Genomic DNA, 18763 nt, shown 5'->3' on the forward strand with positions numbered 1-18763 from the left:
GCTCCGAAAAAGCCCATGCCTCTGTAATTCACCATTGTATGATACAACACACGATATTATATTCAGGAGGATTCAGAAATATGTAGATGTTCTGTATATGTATAATATAAATACACACATATTCTAAACCAGAATAACATATGGGTAACTTCTATTAAAATACCAGGGCAGATGTAAAAACCGAACTTTCCAAAATGCTGTCCTCAAAAAAAAATGTTCTAAATTATAAAATATATTTAGGCCGAGCACGGTGGCTCACACCTGTAATCCCAGCACTTTGGGAGGCTGAGGTGGGCAGATCATTTGAGATCAGGAGTTCCAGACCAGCCTGGCAACATGGTGGAACCCCGTGTCTACTAAAAATACAAAAATTAGCCAGGCTTAGTAGTGGGCACCTGTAATCCCAGCTACTCAGGAGGCTGGGGCAGGAGAATCACTTGAGCCAGGGAGACGGAGGTTGCAGTGAGCCAAGATTGTGCCACTGCACTCCAGCCTGGGTGACAGAGCAAGACTCCATCTCAAAAATAAATAAATAAAAGAAAATATGTGTTATTTTTAAATGTGAGATAACCTCAGCCACAGGGTGAACAGATTGCAGTTTAGAATTTTATCCAAGAACATTTTGACAAGTAGTGGCTTTCCAAAGTGACATGTGTCTAATTGAATAAACAAAGTGATTTGTAGTCATGACAAGGTGGATGAGCTATAGAAAGACATGAAGGAAGAAGAGAATACGGAAACGTAGATGCTGACAGTTATTCGTGCGGGCGCCCTGAAACATGGAAATAAATATTCTCATGTTCATCTTTCTGTTCTGTCATCATAGAGAAGAAGCAGGAAGGGCCAATCGTTCAAAGTAATGACTGAATAAATCAGATGTTGTAGAGCGGTAGTCTGACTTGTAGGATTCTTCTGATGAAAATTACACAACTGGCTCTTATAGGAAATTATAGCTCCATAATTATCAACTAACGTAATCACAGAAAGAAGAATCTTAGATATCACTAATGCATTCTTTGAATATTCAAGGCAAAATGCATTTCACCTCTTGTTATGATCCAGCCTTATTTAGCTTATTTTTCTTAAATTTGAATAAACCTGTTTTATTTTCCCTGATTTCTTTATGTAAATTTGCTATGATTATTACATCACCCAAATAGCAAAGCATTAAAGAAGTAATCACAGAATGCACCTAAAATGTGCTGAGTTATAAGGAGAACATAATTATTCTAATTTCTTCTTCACTTTAAAATTATCCCGAAGTGGGGGGAAAAAGCACTTTCTCAAGTTTCCTGATTGTACTTTCGTGGGATTATTCTTTCAACAGTGTATCTGCTAAGAAGTAGGGCCATTATCTCTGAGAACTTCTTTGGAACATAGAACATTCAATAAATAGAATATATGCCGCTCTAAAGTCAAAGCAGCAGGTGGTGTATACAGATGATAACACATTGAGAAGTGTCATAAACTGTGCATGGAACAATAGCAGCTGACTACCCCGTGTGCATCACGCCAAACTGGAGGCACTGATCTGTATAGAGCAATGGCAAAAGCAATAAAATTACAATCTCAACTCAAATCTAATTTCTAACCATGAAAATATTTAATATTCATTTGGAAGCTTTTCTCAGATTTTCACTGAAGACCATAAAAGAGCAGACTGGCATTTTGTCTTGATAAAATTATTGGCACTTCCATGCCTTAAAGCAGAATTCACTGTAAATAATACATTGGCCTTCTACAACAGTTTTGTTATGTTCGACATTTTGAATAACCGCATGTATATGCATTCTCCTATTGGATGAGAGTGTACGCAGGAATAGTCTTTGACAGGATAGGTAGAGTTAAAATAAGCCTGTATTATCGTTACAGCTTTGGAGTTTGATGTCTATTTTCTACCTTTGTTTTCCACAAAGTTTGTTAACTTTAAAGAAAATTATAAATTCAAAAGAAATTTGTATTCCTGGTTCACATTTTTATTGACTGAATATTTTCAATATTGATTAACAATGAGGCAAACTTGTTATTCCCTAAAGAACATTATGTAGAGCCTGTTCTCAAACCTGGTTGCACGTTAAGATCATCTGGAGAGTTTTTCTAAATTTCAGGGCTAAGGCTGCACCTCAGACAAATTAAACCACCATCTCTCTGGGTGAGAACCAAGCATTAATATTTTTTGGCAACTCCCCAGGCCATTCCAGTGTATAGCCATGACTGATCATCACTGATGTTGAGAATTGGGGTTTTAATTCTTCTCAGGCTTTTGTTCCTTTCACCAGACATGATTTCAGTTCACAGTAGACAGCACTGTTGGTATATATCCTATGGACTTTATCGTGTAATATTTTACACTAGGTAGTTGAATACAATTCATTCCAATGGAGCTTCAAATAAGAATGTCTTAATCCAGACCTGACAGGCATTGAATTATAGTTAAAACAATCATGAACATGTTTGCTTTTCATCTTTACACTTTTTCATCATAAGAAAAACAATGCACTTTATTTCTTCTAGGTATACTGTACAAGGGAAACGGGGAAAACCAGTTCATCTCCCAGCAGCCTCCAGTCGTGAGTAGCATCATGGGCAATGGGCGAAGGCGCAGCATTTCCTGCCCCAGTTGCAATGGTCAAGCTGATGGTAACAAGTTACTGGCCCCAGTGGCGCTAGCTTGTGGGATCGATGGCAGTCTGTACGTAGGCGATTTCAACTATGTGCGGCGGATATTCCCTTCTGGAAATGTAACAAGTGTCTTAGAACTAAGGTACGTCTTTCCTAAATTTGGGCTTTTAACCAAAGCTAAACGTGCCTCTTTAAAAAAAAGGTTGAGTCTGATGTACTGATTTATTCATAGAAAAATACCATCCTAAGGTTTAAAATTTCCCCCAGAAAGAAGTCAAATTCTTGCTTAAAGTTAAGAGAAGCATAACACATATAAATTGTCCCATAAGTGTATTAAAGAGCATAAAGTCACCCAATATATCAAATATCTTACTGATTTCAGTGAATTTTCTGTGCTCTAAAAGGCTAGAGCTATGATTCTTAAATCTCTTTCGCTTTCTTTAGAATAACCCTGTGACATAGGTGTAGCTCTTTTATTTCATAGTGGTTGAAATTAAGGCATAAAATATTTTCCTGTGATTTCAGGACCTGATATTAAATGGACTAAGGCTACAACTTTTAACTAGAATATTGGATCTTCAGGTTGGGTTAATCCATTAGCCATAATGCCAATAGTAAAAGTAACATATTGTCTTTGCTTTGTTCATTTAAGTGTGACTTTCAAATCATTCTATTCTGTAAGTTATTTGGTAAGCCCTAGACTACAGAATTCATTTCCAGTATCATTTCTGCCAAGTTGGCAATTTTCCATACAAATAATTAAAATCTCAGAATTCAACTCATTATATTTTAGAAGGCTTTTCTAACTGTGCTTTCTTTTTTTTTTTTTTTTTTTTTTTACCTTTTTTTATCTGCTTCCACCAAGAAATAAAGATTTTAGACATAGGTAAGCATCTTACCTTAAGGTTATTGTATATTTTCAAATATCCTTTTTACATTTCAATGTGACCCTCTGAAATTGTTTTCTAAGAATATTTCATCATGAGAGAGGAAACTCAGTATCACACATCATCGAAGGAATTAAAAGTGCTTAATTGAACAATTATTATACAATATATTGCGAGTTATTTACGTGATATAATTTGAGAAATCTTTCTCAGTTGGTTCATAAAATAAATTTCATTACAAAAAAGTATAAGGAATATCTCTCTATAACAAAATTATTTCCAAGCATTAGTTACTGACCGACACAATCTAAGCCATGTTGAACAGCATGAAACCTGAAGCACAGTAAGGAGGTTTGAGAAGGCCTGCCTGGTTCCAAGAAAACCCCTGACAGGTTGGGTTTTATTGGAGACTGTTTAAGAAAAAGAATCTAGAAATATTTTACCTTGGCAAATTTTTTAAAACATACGATTATGTGAACATGTGGCTTGGCAGAGTGAGAGGCCCCAAAACTGAAGCTTAATTATTAGCTTCCCGTAAATTCCTCTTTGCCTATAGTTTATATTTTCCTAAGTTGGGAGAATTACTAGATTTAAGAAGTAATGTTTTCATTGCCATTATTATGGAGGAAATGACTTTCTTCAAAGTGAAGGACGAATATAGTTGAAGCAAATATATAGACTCAGAAGTGTTTCATGTCTGCTTTCTGTGTACACGTAGCTGCAGAAGATACAATAAAGACTTGTATGGACACATTTGATTGAAAAACTTTGCTCGGGATAGAAAAAAAAAGGCGGAGGAAACCAATGTTTTAAAGTAAAGCTGGCAAAAAGCTAGACAGGTTAGACATGCTAGATCTAGTTTGGTCATTAAAATATCTAATGAAATGATATCAGATAGAAATATTAATAATATTTTATGTGAGGTCTTTTAGATGAATAAGTCAACATAACCCATTTAAACTGTTGTGTAGTGATTAGCAAACAAAAACCAAACTAGCAAACAAAAACCAAAGTTCTACTGAAAGATGGATAGCTGTCGCATATCAGGGTGACCAAACCTGGCCCCATGATCTTTTCCTGAGATCCCCTATTGATCTTAAACTTGCAGCTAATAGCTCAGTCACATGCTAAAATCAACACTTCATCTCCCCAGGATACTGAGCGTGCAAAGCTCTGCTATTAGAAACCACAATAGAATTTCAAAAACTTGCTGGTCTTGTTTTCTTGGTAGCTGTGGAGAAAAGAGGAAAGACAGACAGGTTGCACACCAAGTAAATGTGAAAATGCTGGAGGCAATACAGAAAAAACTATCAAAGCAGCTACCTTTTAACAAGCGGGCCTATTCCATGCCGGGCATGGTGCCAGATATTTTATATCTGTTATTGCAGATCCACACAGCAACCCCTCAGGGTTATAAGTGACGTAGTAGAGGCTCCAGGAGATTATGTATCTTCCCCAAAATACATATCTAAGAAATGGGTAGCAGACAGTTAAACCACTCTAAAAATATGTTCTTTCCACGGCACCACACAGCCGGTTTTTCTGTGTCCCAGTGGCCAAGATTCTAGGGGCTCATTCCCTGGGTATGCAAAAAGCAAGACTTATTTCACAATCATTTTACCTGTTATTTAAAGCCATAATCTCTCCCTCTGGAAAAAAAAAAATCTATGAGGTTAGAGTTACGTCTTTATTAACAGTAGAAATTCATTTTGTACTAACTCCTGGTGTTTGGCAGTGATACTATTGTAATCCCTCTCTCATGATCCTCCATAATCCTTCTCCTCTGTCCATCATCCTAACTACATTTGTGCTTCTGCATTTCCTTTATGTGCCATGCATGAAGAGTACACTTTTTGGGTTTTATATGGATATTTAATTACATGAAATCAATCAGCGTTAACTGATCACTTACCGTGTGTTAGGCACTTTGAAAAATAATAATATAAGACAAAATACCTCCTCTCAGAACTCACAATCTAGCAGAGGAGACAAGGTATATATGTGACACCTTAAATAACATTATCAGTATCATTCTTTGACACTTAATCATACCCGTGGTCCGTGGTTTCAAATGTGAGAATAGTTCTGTAAAGGAAGAGATTACTGGGAGATGGCACTACGGTAAGGAAACGTTTTCTGGAAGGGCTGATATTTGAGCTAGGTCTAAAAATGAAGTCTGCTTAAATAGAACAGCAAGAAGAAAAGAGGGCAGTCATGAAGAAATAGAGAAAGCAAGTAAAGTTACTGGAGACTGGGGGAGAGCTGAGCAAGACATGTTCTGAGAGTAATCAGACCCACCTGAATGGAACAGGGGGTTCATGGTGGTAATCACGAGAGATACAGGCAGAAAGGCAGGGGAGGGTCAGATTGCTTGGGGCCTTGAGGGCTCTAAGGAATTATTCTCTCCTATAGGATACCTGAGACAGTGGGGACCCATTTTAGGATCCTGAACAAGTGGCACACTCAAAGTGGCCTTTTAGGAAGAGTAATTTGGTGTCAGAGTTCAAAATGATTGAACATCAGATCAATTAGAAAGCTGTTGCAGCTTGAGATGCTAGATACCTAAAACAGGATGGTTAGCAGTGAAGAAAGCCAAACGATAAAATAAACGGAAGGAGAGAATGGAGAGTATTTGTCTAAGTGATAAGAAAGAGGAAGATGTAGAGAATGTGTAAGGTCTTTGAGCCCAAATCATCAAACATGATCATGTCATTGATAAAATAGGGATTCCATTTGCTTAGTAAGTAATAAAATTGACCTAGCAAAGTCAACATATTTTAGTTCATTGGAACTTCTTCTTTTAGCTTAAAAAATTAAAGTTCTTTTCAGATGCTTCTTCCTGTGTACCTGCCTATCGTTACCTTCCCTTTCCTGGTTAATAAGATCCTTCCTGGCGTGCTCCTTATCCTCGCTTTCTTGGGCAGCATGAGTCATGAGAGGCTTAGGAACAGGTCATAGGAAGAAAAAGAAATGGAAAAGTGTGTCTAAATCTACAAAAGGAATGGTATTGCCAGTTGTTAATGATTAAAATATAAAAATGCAAACTTTTTATCCTCTTCTATATTTCATATACTGTAAACAGTCTCGTTAGTTGGACTAATGGGGGAATAATAAAAATATTGAATAAAAATTAGTATAAAAACACATTGTCTTATTTTAAAATTCAGAGAGTGTTCTGTTATATCAAACTAATAAGCACCACCAGGATATTACCTGAAATAAAAATTCTTAGCTATACTTTAGTGAATAGGTATAAATGTTACTGATCAACATATTAAACTTTTTACATACATAGAAGCTGCTACAATTCTTTAAAAATGTCTTTCTTTTAGATGTACCAAACATTTCCTTCTCTGATGTTTATAGTATTAGTTTGCTAAGGAACCCCTTTAATATGTAGTAAGTTTTACCTCATCCTTGTTCCAATTCTCACACATTGCAAAATTTAAAAATTACATTAATTAACTAATACCAGCCAAAGGGCACTTAAACATGTAGAACTAAAAATCAACTTTGTGAATTTTATATTACCAATTAAAGGATCAAAGAAAGTGTCAATCATAAGTCTGTGAATTTGAATCCATTAAAGTGTAGATACCAAATTATAAAAATTTTATTCAGTACCCCTTATTGACTTAATATTTAAAAATCAAGCAGGCATGGAAATATCACACCCCAAGTCCCTGCTTGCAATATTCTAAACAGTCTTTTGGTTACCATAAAAGAAGCTGTTTTACTTTTATATGTGAATATAGTTTGTTATGCTTCTTCAAATGTCTTGTGTTCTAAAGGCTGTGACACAGTTTCCAACTCAGAAGATAGAAGTGCTAATAATATCTGTTCTCTGGCTTGTTCTTTGTGAATATTTCTCTAGTCTAAGAAGGTTGAATTATGACAAAATAAATGAGCAAATCCAGCCTGCACTTACCACTGGATCTGTGTCTAATTGAATGAGACTAGAGAAGATGTCTTGATAATTGTGATGATCTAGGCAATTCAGGATGAGTTAAGAATCAAGGTGTAATATACTAAAGGTTCTTAACTTGATCTCAGTTTCCTTGGTTTTGCTATTAGTCAAAATTGTAATATTTCAAACCTTTCTGAAATAGTGAAATCTCAACCAATCACATGAGAATGCTGCTGTGCTTCCGCTCAGCAGAGATTTCCCAAAACCAAGCATTTTGAAAATCCCTGTGCTCCAGCTGCTGGCTGCAGCCGGTTCCGTCGTGGTAGCCTCACGTTTTCACAGTAGATAGATTACTGACCTAAAAATTCACCACTCGTTGTACCCACACACCCGCCTCTTCAGTGCTTTGGCTTTTCAGAAAGTTGGAAAGCAAGCACGAGCTCACACTGTCAACTCTCTATGCTCAAATTAGGTGACCTTGAATCCCAGTCCTATGGCATATGATTCAGAGCTTCACTGCCACCAGTCTGTCAACTAGAAATATCCAGACTCACTTTTTTTCCTTTTAGTACTTCCATGCTGATCCCTCTTTTCATTTAGGAGAGACCAGCATCTAACAACCAGCTCTAATTTGCCATCCTAGCCTGCGCTGCTGGGAATTTGTCAAGTTCTCATTTCCTACCATCCTGTGGGAATATTTCCAGAGGCTAATTCTCTTCTCTAGGGCCACGTAGACTCCCCCACATTTGTTCTTCTGGACAATAGAGTTGTGTCCAAAAGTACAGCTTTCATTTATCAGACATTTTTAAAGCCATTGACATTTGTTGCTTGATGGAGAAATTTCTATGTCTTCTAGGAAGGAGATGCTTCAGGACAGGAAATAAGCAAATATAAGCACCACTTTGGGCATTCTCTCTTTACTTCCCCACTAGGATAAAACTGATGACAATAAAGGCAAAGCTTATCACTTGAATGTCCATTCGTTTTTGCACCAAGAAAACTCACGTCCCATAGCTAAAGAGGATGCCACCACCACTGAAGCTGCCACCTCAATAATCTGTTTGTTTGTTTTTTCTCAAAATGAGGGCATCCTGAGGAAGTGTGCATGATTCATTTACCATGAATGAATCATCATTGTTCATCATTACTCTCTAAACAATTTAAAGTGGGTATATTGAGTCTTCATTATTTTAATAGTTTAGGATATTATAAACTGCTGTTATAACAGCAGAAGTAAAAAAACAAATTTAAACCTAACCAAGTTTAGGTTTAACAAACCTAAACCTAAACCAAGTTTAAACCTAATCAGTTTTTTTCTTTTAATATTTTCAGAAACAACTCATACTTTAGTTAATTATTGTATTCCTGCACTTTCTAAGGTTATAAGGCAAAAGACATTGCACTGTAGGAAGAGACAGGACAAAAGCGAGTATAAGGACGGTTAATTCTTAGTGAGTATGTAGTATGCGCTAGGCCCTGTTCTAAGGATCTTACATATATAGTTCGTGTAATCCTCCCAGCATCCTGTGAAATATGTATTATTATCACCACCTTTACAGGTAAGGAACCTGAGGCACAGATAAGTTAGGCAGCATGCCCAGATCATACATTTAGTGTTAGTAATGAAGTTAGGACTTAAACCCAGGCAATCGGGTACAGAGTTCATACTCAAAAGATGTACAACTGAGAAGAAAAAAAAGTATGTGTGTTATGTATACACATGAGTGTATGCATACCATGTACACAGCTAGTCACAGTTAACTGTATAATCAGGGAGGTAGGAAAGACTAGAGGGGCCTCTCCAATGTCATGTCTTTCAAAGTAGACTCAGCTTGGTGGAGTTGCAACTCTGTCACCAATTATATATACCTGAAAGACCAGCTGTGTCAACATTAGACTGTTTATAGAAAGGAAAAAAAAAAAACCTCTAAAATTGCTCTGAATGTTATATTGATTTGTAACTCTTCACTTCTTACAAAGTAATAAGCTGCCACATTAAGGGATGCAATATGTGTTGCTGCATTAAGATTGTAGGCATCAGCTTAGGAAAATGATATCATAACACTTAGCACAGCAAGTTGATCACTTGGCATAACCCAGTTGTTCTGAAATGTTTTTCTTGCACAATGACTTGCATCTTTCTGAGTTCATCTTACTTTTTACCATTTCACACACATTTACACACTCTAAGATGTCTTGCCCTAGTCTGTCTTTTGTCACTCAAAGGCTGGAAAGGAGATCCCAAAGCTGAAGGACATACAAAGCTCAAGCCTTTGTATGTCTTTGTATTTCTCTGTATACTAACATCACAGCCTAAGAGCTCTTCAGAGCTCCACAAGGCCTCTACAGACTCCATGTGTGATCTGCTGGCCTCCTCTAACAACATGAGAAACACTTAAACAATTTTAAGAATAGAATCTCTTACAGGAATGATAAAGTACAGCTATTCAGCACTTAGACGGAAAATCATCAAGTAGTGAAAATTGTTTTATTAGAACCTAACCTCATTGGTAATGAGGAGACTACTGCATCACTATTAGAATAAAAATATTCATATAGGTAGATTTATTATAAATATTTTAGATGTTCACAAATAAAATAAATGGAAACAAGCATGTAACTGTGTGTGTGTGTGTGTTCGTGGCTGTATGTGGAAAGAGGGAGAGGAAGAGAGGGAATGAGAATTAATTAATATAACTAAGTTCGTCATCAAAAGATACATGGAGTTTGATAGATTCCCATCATGTTGACGTCTTGGTTGGGACACCAAATCATTTAAATTATTTTTCAGGTTTTTGTTCAGAAGACAATCTTTGCACATGTACAAGATTACATTAATTTTAAGAATGTGGCATTGAGTGTCTGTAAGGATATTAACTTTTTAATTCCAATGATACGTCATAATTTGTCCCCTCCTTAACAGTGTTGGGCTTACCATTTTTTACAAGTAATGGGACATAAAATGTTTTACATTTGCATTTCTTTATATTTATAAAACTGAGGCACTACATTTTGTATGTCACTACATTCATAGACAGGTTTCAGAGCAGCTCAGTATACAAACTTTGGAAAGAAAACTGAAGGATCCAGCATCCTAGCTCACTGCCACAGGCCACCAACTAAGACTCCCCCGTAGACTTGAATGACCTCATTTTAATATTTAACCCCATAGGACAGACACTGGCACTTTTCTGGATTATGATAGAGCAACCAAGACAGATACAGTGGTACATTTCTTCAGGGGGAGGGTTTTTAGTTTGAAAGGATAATACCCTATGGTGAGGTATGAGCGGAATCAGTAGTATATTGTACTTCACTGGAGAATTTGATGGAGACATGCTTCCCCTGGAATAAACTTTATGTCCCTCATTCAGGGGCAGTTTTTTAATGGCTTTGCATTGAGCACAAAAGATTTAGACAATTTGCTTCTTTGTTTTAGGGTAGACACATACTGCCTTTTAAAGGTAATATTTTTTAAGATGACTGTTAGTAAATTGTTGAATCCTCAGCGTCAGGCAAGGAAGGCAAACAGTAATATCAGAGAAATGCTACCTGTGAGCACATTCTTTTGAGTCATTATTAAATAGACAGTACTATTCATGTCTAATCTTTGATCATGGATTCCAGACTATAATCAGTTTCTCATGATCTGTTTTATTTTGCTTTTAATTTCCCTCTGTGTATTAGGAGTAACTCCCTTTGATGTTTATCTATGATCCTTTTCACAGCAGCAACCCAGCTCATAGATACTACCTTGCAACGGATCCAGTCACGGGAGATCTGTACGTTTCTGACACAAACACCCGCAGAATTTATCGCCCAAAGTCACTTACGGGGGCAAAAGACTTGACTAAAAATGCAGAAGTCGTCGCAGGGACAGGGGAGCAATGCCTTCCGTTTGACGAGGCGAGATGTGGGGATGGAGGGAAGGCCGTGGAAGCCACACTCATGAGTCCCAAAGGTACCGGCAGTTGGCGATTTGAGGATTTCTTTTTATTTATTAAAAAAAAAAAAAAAGGGGTTGAAAATCCATTTAGTGCCTAGTCATGTTTAATGCTGAGTCTAACTTTTTACCTTTGACAGTGTTCTGGAAAGCTGTTTCACATCTAGGGTTTTTAAAAGCCATGTAGCATGAAACTGCTAGCATCCTAACTTGGTTTTACAGTAAATACTAGGTTCTTGGCATTTTTTATTATCATACCATTTTATCAGCTCTTCAAAGAATGAAGCAACTAACTACTCTATATAATTCAGGCCACATCCTGTTCAACTTCAAGGAAGTATCCAAATTCTTTCATAGTCCTGGAATTTCTTTGTCATGAATGAGTCCCAGGCTTCTTTAAAACCCATCACTAAGCAACCCTGTGAGCCCTCACCCTCTTTGGAGAGCTGTGAAACTTTTGTTTCTATGCCATGGGAAAAAATCCTTGCTGAGAGGAATTTTGGGAGGTAACAGGGCTAAAAAAATTCTACGTGATAAAGGCTTTTAAACCAGGCAGGAATGATTCCCTGCTCATGTATTATGGCACTGAATACAATGTTTTTGGTTTGGGGCCTTTATTTTTTTCATGGTAGCTGCTGACTATTATGTGAACAAGGACTGGAAAAAAGTATCTGTACTGAATTATTCATAATAGAAAATTTCATTGTAACGGGGTCAACAAAACACTAACCTTGGCTTAGATCTATTTTTGTTAGAAGGATATGGTTACTGTAAGGGAGCTGGAATGGAATTTGAAACTGGTTCTGTAATTTATAGACCACAACATTATATAATCATTGTAATTTATATTTGAAACATTCAGGTATTACCTGTGTGATACATATACTCACAGGAGATTCTGACAAAATTGGATTATTTCCTTACTGAATTTTTTTTTTTTTTTTTTTTTTGAGACGGAGTCTCACTCTGTCGCCCAGGCTGGAGAGCAATGGTGCGATCTCGGCTCACTGCAACCTCCGCCTCCCGGGTTCAAGCCATTCTTCTGCCTCAGCCTCCCGAATAGCTGGGACTACAGGCTCACACTGCCACACCCAGTTTTTTTGTGTGTTTTTTAGTAGAGACAGGGTTTCACCGTGTTGCCCAGGCTGGTCTCGAACTCCTGAGCTCAGGCAGTCCGCCTGCCTCGGCCTCGCAAAGTGCTAGGATTGCAGGCGTGAGCCACCATGCCCTGCCTCCTTACTGAATTTTTAATTTATTTGTATTATAAATGCCTGTGTTGGTTTTTTCTAACGTGTTTGCAATCTGCAGTCCTACCTGCTACCTGTCACCCGTGTTGTCACTGGGGTTAAATAACTGAGTTTAATAATGGGCCTAATAGTTAATCAAAAGTAACCATTTTTGAAAAATTAGTAATACTTGCTTCTCTCAAATACAGGAATGGCAGTTGATAAGAATGGATTAATCTACTTTGTTGATGGAACCATGATTAGGAAAGTTGACCAAAATGGAATCATATCAACTCTTCTGGGCTCTAACGATTTGACTTCAGCCAGACCTTTAACTTGTGACACCAGCATGCACATCAGCCAGGTAGTTAAATACTAAGCGGACTTGTTTGTTTTTCCTCTAGGTGACTTGACTTATTCAGTCGGTAGACTATGATGGCACCATATTAAACTGCATATATCATGTGTTGCAGTGGTTCTGATAGGGCAGTTCCATTTACATGTATCACAGGAGCTAATAAAAAGTTATTTTCTTCTATAATTCTACATTTGATGAATTCAGTGAGATACAGAACAATTATCACTAAGAAATGCTAAGCATTTGTAATAAAATACCAGTAAAGTAGGAGCATGCAGGTATTCTAAAAAGAACCAAACAACTGAAATCTCTAATCTTTTGATTGCATGAGCTCCTTAAGTAGTAGAGAGAACCCACTATGATTAGTGCCAAGGGACTTATATTTAGAAATAGAAACTTTACTGTTGGCCTGATTGAAAACACAATAGAATACTAATCTATTCATAACCTAGAAAGCCCCAACATTTGGTGGTTATTGCTGCCATAAGGAACATGTGTGTTCATAGCTCATCGATATCTGTTGACTCACTACGTAGAGGCCTATTTGCTATTTGCCTGTAACTAGCAAATCTTTCTGTGAGCTGAATTTTAAAATAAAGTGTTATTTCCTGTATCTATCTTCATTCATTACTTTTTGGTTTATTTTACTGAGGCTATTGAAAAAACTATTATCAGACAGTTTATCTCAGATTAATGCCAATTTCCCTGAATGGTCTAATTTACTCTTCTGGCGAATTAACTGTAGTGCAGTAACTTACTAACCAGGCCATTTCTTTTTTTATTAAGGTACGTCTGGAATGGCCCACTGACCTAGCCATTAACCCTATGGATAACTCCATTTATGTCCTGGATAATAATGTAGTTTTACAGATCACTGAAAATCGTCAAGTTCGCATTGCTGCTGGACGGCCCATGCACTGTCAGGTTCCCGGAGTGGAATATCCTGTGGGGAAGCACGCGGTGCAGACAACACTGGAATCAGCCACTGCCATTGCTGTGTCCTACAGTGGGGTCCTGTACATTACTGAAACTGATGAGAAGAAAATTAACCGGATAAGGCAGGTCACAACAGATGGAGAAATCTCCTTAGTGGCCGGAATACCTTCAGAGTGTGACTGCAAAAATGATGCCAACTGTGACTGTTACCAGAGTGGAGATGGCTACGCCAAGGATGCCAAACTCAGTGCCCCATCCTCCCTGGCTGCTTCTCCAGATGGTACACTGTATATTGCAGATCTAGGGAATATCCGGATCCGGGCTGTGTCAAAGAATAAGCCTTTACTTAACTCTATGAACTTCTATGAAGTTGCGTCTCCAACTGATCAAGAACTCTACATCTTTGACATCAATGGTACTCACCAATATACTGTAAGTTTAGTCACTGGTGATTACCTTTACAATTTTAGCTACAGCAATGACAATGATATTACTGCTGTGACAGACAGCAATGGCAACACCCTTAGAATTAGACGGGACCCAAATCGCATGCCAGTTCGAGTGGTGTCTCCTGATAACCAAGTGATATGGTTGACAATAGGAACAAATGGATGTTTGAAAAGCATGACTGCTCAAGGACTGGAATTAGTTTTGTTTACTTACCATGGCAATAGTGGCCTTTTAGCCACTAAAAGTGATGAAACTGGATGGACAACGTTTTTTGAGTAAGTATATGAAAATTCTACTCTGATTATAAAATACTGTGATATAATAATATCATCTATAATAACAATATAATCTTAAGAGCTGGAGGATTCCATGTTTTTGAGAGTCTAGAGCTTCTGTAATTTTTGGATCCCGGCTGGGCACGGTGGCTCATTCCCGTAGTCTCAGCTCCTGGGGAGGCTGAGACGGGAGGATTGCTTGAGCCCAGGACTTCGAGGCCACAGTGAGCTATGATTGTGCCACTGCACTCCAGGCTGAGTGACAGAGCCAGAACGTATCTCTAAAGAAAAAAAAATGGCCGGGCGCAGTGGCTCACGCCTGTAATCCCAGCACTTTGGGAGGCCGAGGCGGGCGGATCACGAGGTCAGAAGATCGAGACCATCCTGGATAACACGGTGAAACCCCCGTCTCTACTAAAAATACAAAAAAAATAGCCGGGCGTGGTGGCGGGCGCCTGTAGTCCCAGCTACTCGGGAGGCTGAGGCAGGAGAATGGCGTGAACCCGGGAGGCGCAGCTTGCAGTGAGCCGAGATCGCGCCACTGCACTCCAGTCTCTGGGCGACAGAGCGAGACTCCGCCTCAAAAAAAAAAAGATACCTCTTTCTGAGAAAGAAGACAAAATTGCAAGATACAAGATGTAGGGCCTTGGAAAGGGAAGGGACTCGTGTAAGGGAGAAGCCCAAAGCTTAAGTTTCAGTTGGCTTCATGGTAAATTTACCTGTACTTAAGGATTAACATCTTGCTTCCAATAGACCTAGCATCTTAGCAAACCTTCTGAGAAGCATCCCGCAGCTGTGGTTTGGGGCATAAAGCCTTTGGCTCTAGGTTTGCCCACCTGATAAAGCTGACTGTCTCAGGAACTTGCATTGAAGAAAAACTTCAAAAACATTTACAGTGAACTTTGCTGATTACGTAGAAGGGCTTAAGTTTTTGTAATCGTTACCAGAGAAGCTACACTGTGCCTCAAAGAACCTTACAACTAAATGCAAGTCAGGAATTGCAGTTTGTTGCCTGAAAGCATGTGAAGAGGTAGGAGGCTCATTCAGCCAGGGTGTTCCAAGAGATAGCATGGAGTGGTGGCCCGGGCACTGTGCTGTCTGAACAGTCACATCTTGGGAGTCACTGAGAATGAAAGGAGAATCAGCTGTTGAGTATGTTAGGGCATGTATAAATGCATTCTCAATTGCTTGTTCACTTGACTCGGTTGTACAAGCCATGAGGGGAAATGAGATATGCAGAGATGGCATGTTGACAAACGCAAAATAGTCTTTGAAATGAATCCTGAGTTCCTTAGTGTGGTTTTCACAATGATACGGTGAAGCAAAGGTACTTCTTTCTGTAGGAGCACACCTCTGAAATTATCATAAAAGTCAGTAGAAAAAATGACTCAATATACAAATATTTTCTGTATAGCTTTTCTGGAATGTGTCTTATACATAAAGCTTAGTTCTCCTGTAGCTTGAATTGCTTTTCTTTTTTGACAGATTCCCTTTTAATAAAATGAATGTTAGCCAGCAGCATGATTTTGTCAGAGGAACAAACCTTTTCAATTGAATTACATTAAAATTCTGTTCTTAGCATTCCTTTTGCTCATTTTAGTATCGCAATAGGAAAGGAATAAATTGGAAGTTAATGGAAAGCACTTCCTTTGCACTGTTTTCAAAGTGATCGCAGGCTAGATTGCCAACGAAGCAAAAAAGAGCACAAGAAAAGTGCTGCCATCAGATGAGACTGGGCAGGAGAGCTGCTCTGATTCTAAGATCTTCAGGAGGCCGGGCGCGGTGGCTCACACCTGTAATCCCAGCACTTTGGGAGGCCGAGGCAGGCGGATCACGAGGTCAGGAGATCAAGACCATCCTGGCTAACACGGTGAAACCCTGTCTCTACTAAAAATACAAAAAATTCGCCAGGCGTGGTGGCAGGTGCCTATAGTGCCAGCTAGTTGGGAGGCTGAGGCAGAAGAATGGCATGAACCCGGGAGGTGGAGGTTGCAGTGAGCTGAGATGGTGCCACTGCACTCCAGCCTGGGTGACAGAGTGAGACTCCGTCTCAAAAAAAAAAAAAAAAAAAAAAAAAAGATCTTCAGGAGATGGTGGCGGCATTGGTAGGGTTTCAGTTTAGTTGAAAGTGGGGGAAACATAGAGAAATAAGTTTTTAGTATAGTCTGGTACTCAAGCCCTGCTCTCCGGGCCATTTTTGAATATGTCCTTACTCGTTCCCAGGAGTTCATTGTATGGATTAGTGCTGACACTTGAACTTCCTACAGCAGATACAGTGGTTTGCTTATGGCCTACAAATGCATTTTAATCAAGTTTGGAAAATTAGAGAAATTTCACTGGTGGAGCTGATGTGGGATAGTATAAACCAATTTGGATTTTTTACCTTTTAAAGAAATGATAGTGCAAAAAAGAAGATATATTTCTCTAGTAACAAATAACCTCCAAGAATTTCAGACTTAGGAATCGGCAGACTGGCTGAAGTAGAGGTTGGGTTGGCAAGCCAATCTTGTATATAATGGGAAAACATTATTTTAAAGAATGAAAGATTTTAATTAATTAAAATACAGCAAAATCACATTTTCACCAATACTTATTACATGTCATATTTAAAGTATATCTATTAAATCTTATAACTAGATAAATTGCTGTAAGGGCAACTACACTATTCCAAAAAGCATTATTAAAATATCTTACAAAATATCACCCTCACAATTTTATATATATCCATATATATAAAAGAATATCATAGTTTAACAAACCAGTGTTTAAAAATGACTTTTCTAATAAAATTAGCAGAAAGACTGCTTTTAAAAACCAGCGTTTTGTTAATTTTCCTCATAAGCTGGCTACAGCAAAGACGACTAAAAAATGTCTAAGAAACCTTTATGCATTTTGCAAAATAATGTGTTAAAGAAGAGCACTTAACCCAAGGAATTCAGAATCATCGTGTCAGAATGACAAATGATCATTTTTTTTCTTCCCATACATTCTTGTAATTTGGCTGTGAAAGAGCAAAGGCCGCCTCTTCTAAGGGTCAGAAACTTTAAAACACATTCAAAAGGAAATGCACAAAAAGAAAAGGGTGGGGGGAGGTGTCATTATCAGGCCGCCCCTCCAGAAGCACTGTCTGTGTTCAGACACAGCAGCACGTATTGTCTGTGTAAGTTTGAGATGGTTAATGGGCAAACTCAACCCCTGTCGCTACTCATCAGAGCCTTGACAACAGAGTTTCTGCTGCTTGTCTCCCGACCTGGGTGTGCGGCGGGATGTGAGCATCCTAATAGAGGCAGCGGGGGGCTTCTGAATCCCCGTCGGAATGCCTTTGTTTTTGTAGTTATTGGTGAACTGGCCGACTCCCAGAATATTAGTACGTGTCTGTAATATTTCCCTTCATTTTTAGAGTACCATGTGTCTATGTGTCTACTTTAGACCTTACAAAGGGCAGCCTGTAAGTTCACAAAGAAGGGATTTGACAGGTTTGACAATGGCCAGAGTGTCACCAAAACCACAACGAGATTGTGAAAAAAAATTGCCATCCCCCACTGAAAAACACCTGCTTTCTGTGACTTCCATGACACCAGTCCCTTGAGCTCTGATAACAGGCTCTATAATCATCTTCCTGCACAAATACCTCGCACAGAAAAGTTAAACTTTTCAGCTCAAATTCCCATTTGTGTATGGCCAGCTTTCTGACTATCCTGGTGTCTAAAAAGCCTTGAGATTAAAGCTTTTGTAGGATAGAAACAGATGGAAGAAGATCTGGAATCAATAAATTTGCCTACTGATAAAAATACACTTGTCATAGTTCCTTCCAAAGAAATTTTAAAAGAGAATTAGTTGCAATTACTTACCTTACATGTTTTTCTTGGTACAAACTTGAGTGTACCATTAACATGTCACAGTATTGGTATAAGTACAAAATGAAATGTAAAAGTATTTCATAAAATGCAAACTCCCATTATCTTTGTGGCTCCCACCACTCCTGGAATGTTGCTGTGGGTATAGAACTCTCCCAACAGCTATTTGTTGAATGAAGAAATAGAAAAATAAATCAGAGATGTAGACAGGTCAGTGTTTATTTGCAGAGAAGAGTCTGGTAAAACCAGAAGCTGGCATTTGCCAACGCTCCACTGAGAGAACACCTATAAATGCTCTTTTG

The 18763-nt window shown here is 38.3% G+C and overlaps 1 protein-coding gene across 31 annotated transcripts in view; it reads left to right on the top strand.

The window, feature by feature from the left end:
* The window catches only part of TENM3 (teneurin transmembrane protein 3), a 1355412-nt gene that overhangs the window by 1293043 nt on the left and 43606 nt on the right, over nucleotides 1-18763 (top strand). For 13 of the 31 annotated variants that reach the window (XM_017008385.2, XM_017008394.2, XM_047415933.1 and 10 more), the window contains 5 exons: nucleotides 2515-2764; nucleotides 3488-3508; nucleotides 11145-11377; nucleotides 12795-12949; nucleotides 13730-14604. In XM_017008385.2, coding sequence (XP_016863874.1) covers nucleotides 2515-2764; nucleotides 3488-3508; nucleotides 11145-11377; nucleotides 12795-12949; nucleotides 13730-14604 — 1534 coding nt within the window. The remainder of the gene's footprint in view (nucleotides 1-2514; nucleotides 2765-3487; nucleotides 3509-11144; nucleotides 11378-12794; nucleotides 12950-13729; nucleotides 14605-18763) is intronic. The other 18 variants (XM_017008390.2, XM_047415944.1, NM_001415971.1 and 15 more) reach the window with 3 other exon arrangements.

The sequence above is a fragment of the Homo sapiens genome, chromosome 4 (assembly GCF_000001405.40).
Source record: "Homo sapiens chromosome 4, GRCh38.p14 Primary Assembly".
NCBI classification, from domain to species: domain Eukaryota; kingdom Metazoa; phylum Chordata; class Mammalia; order Primates; family Hominidae; genus Homo; species Homo sapiens.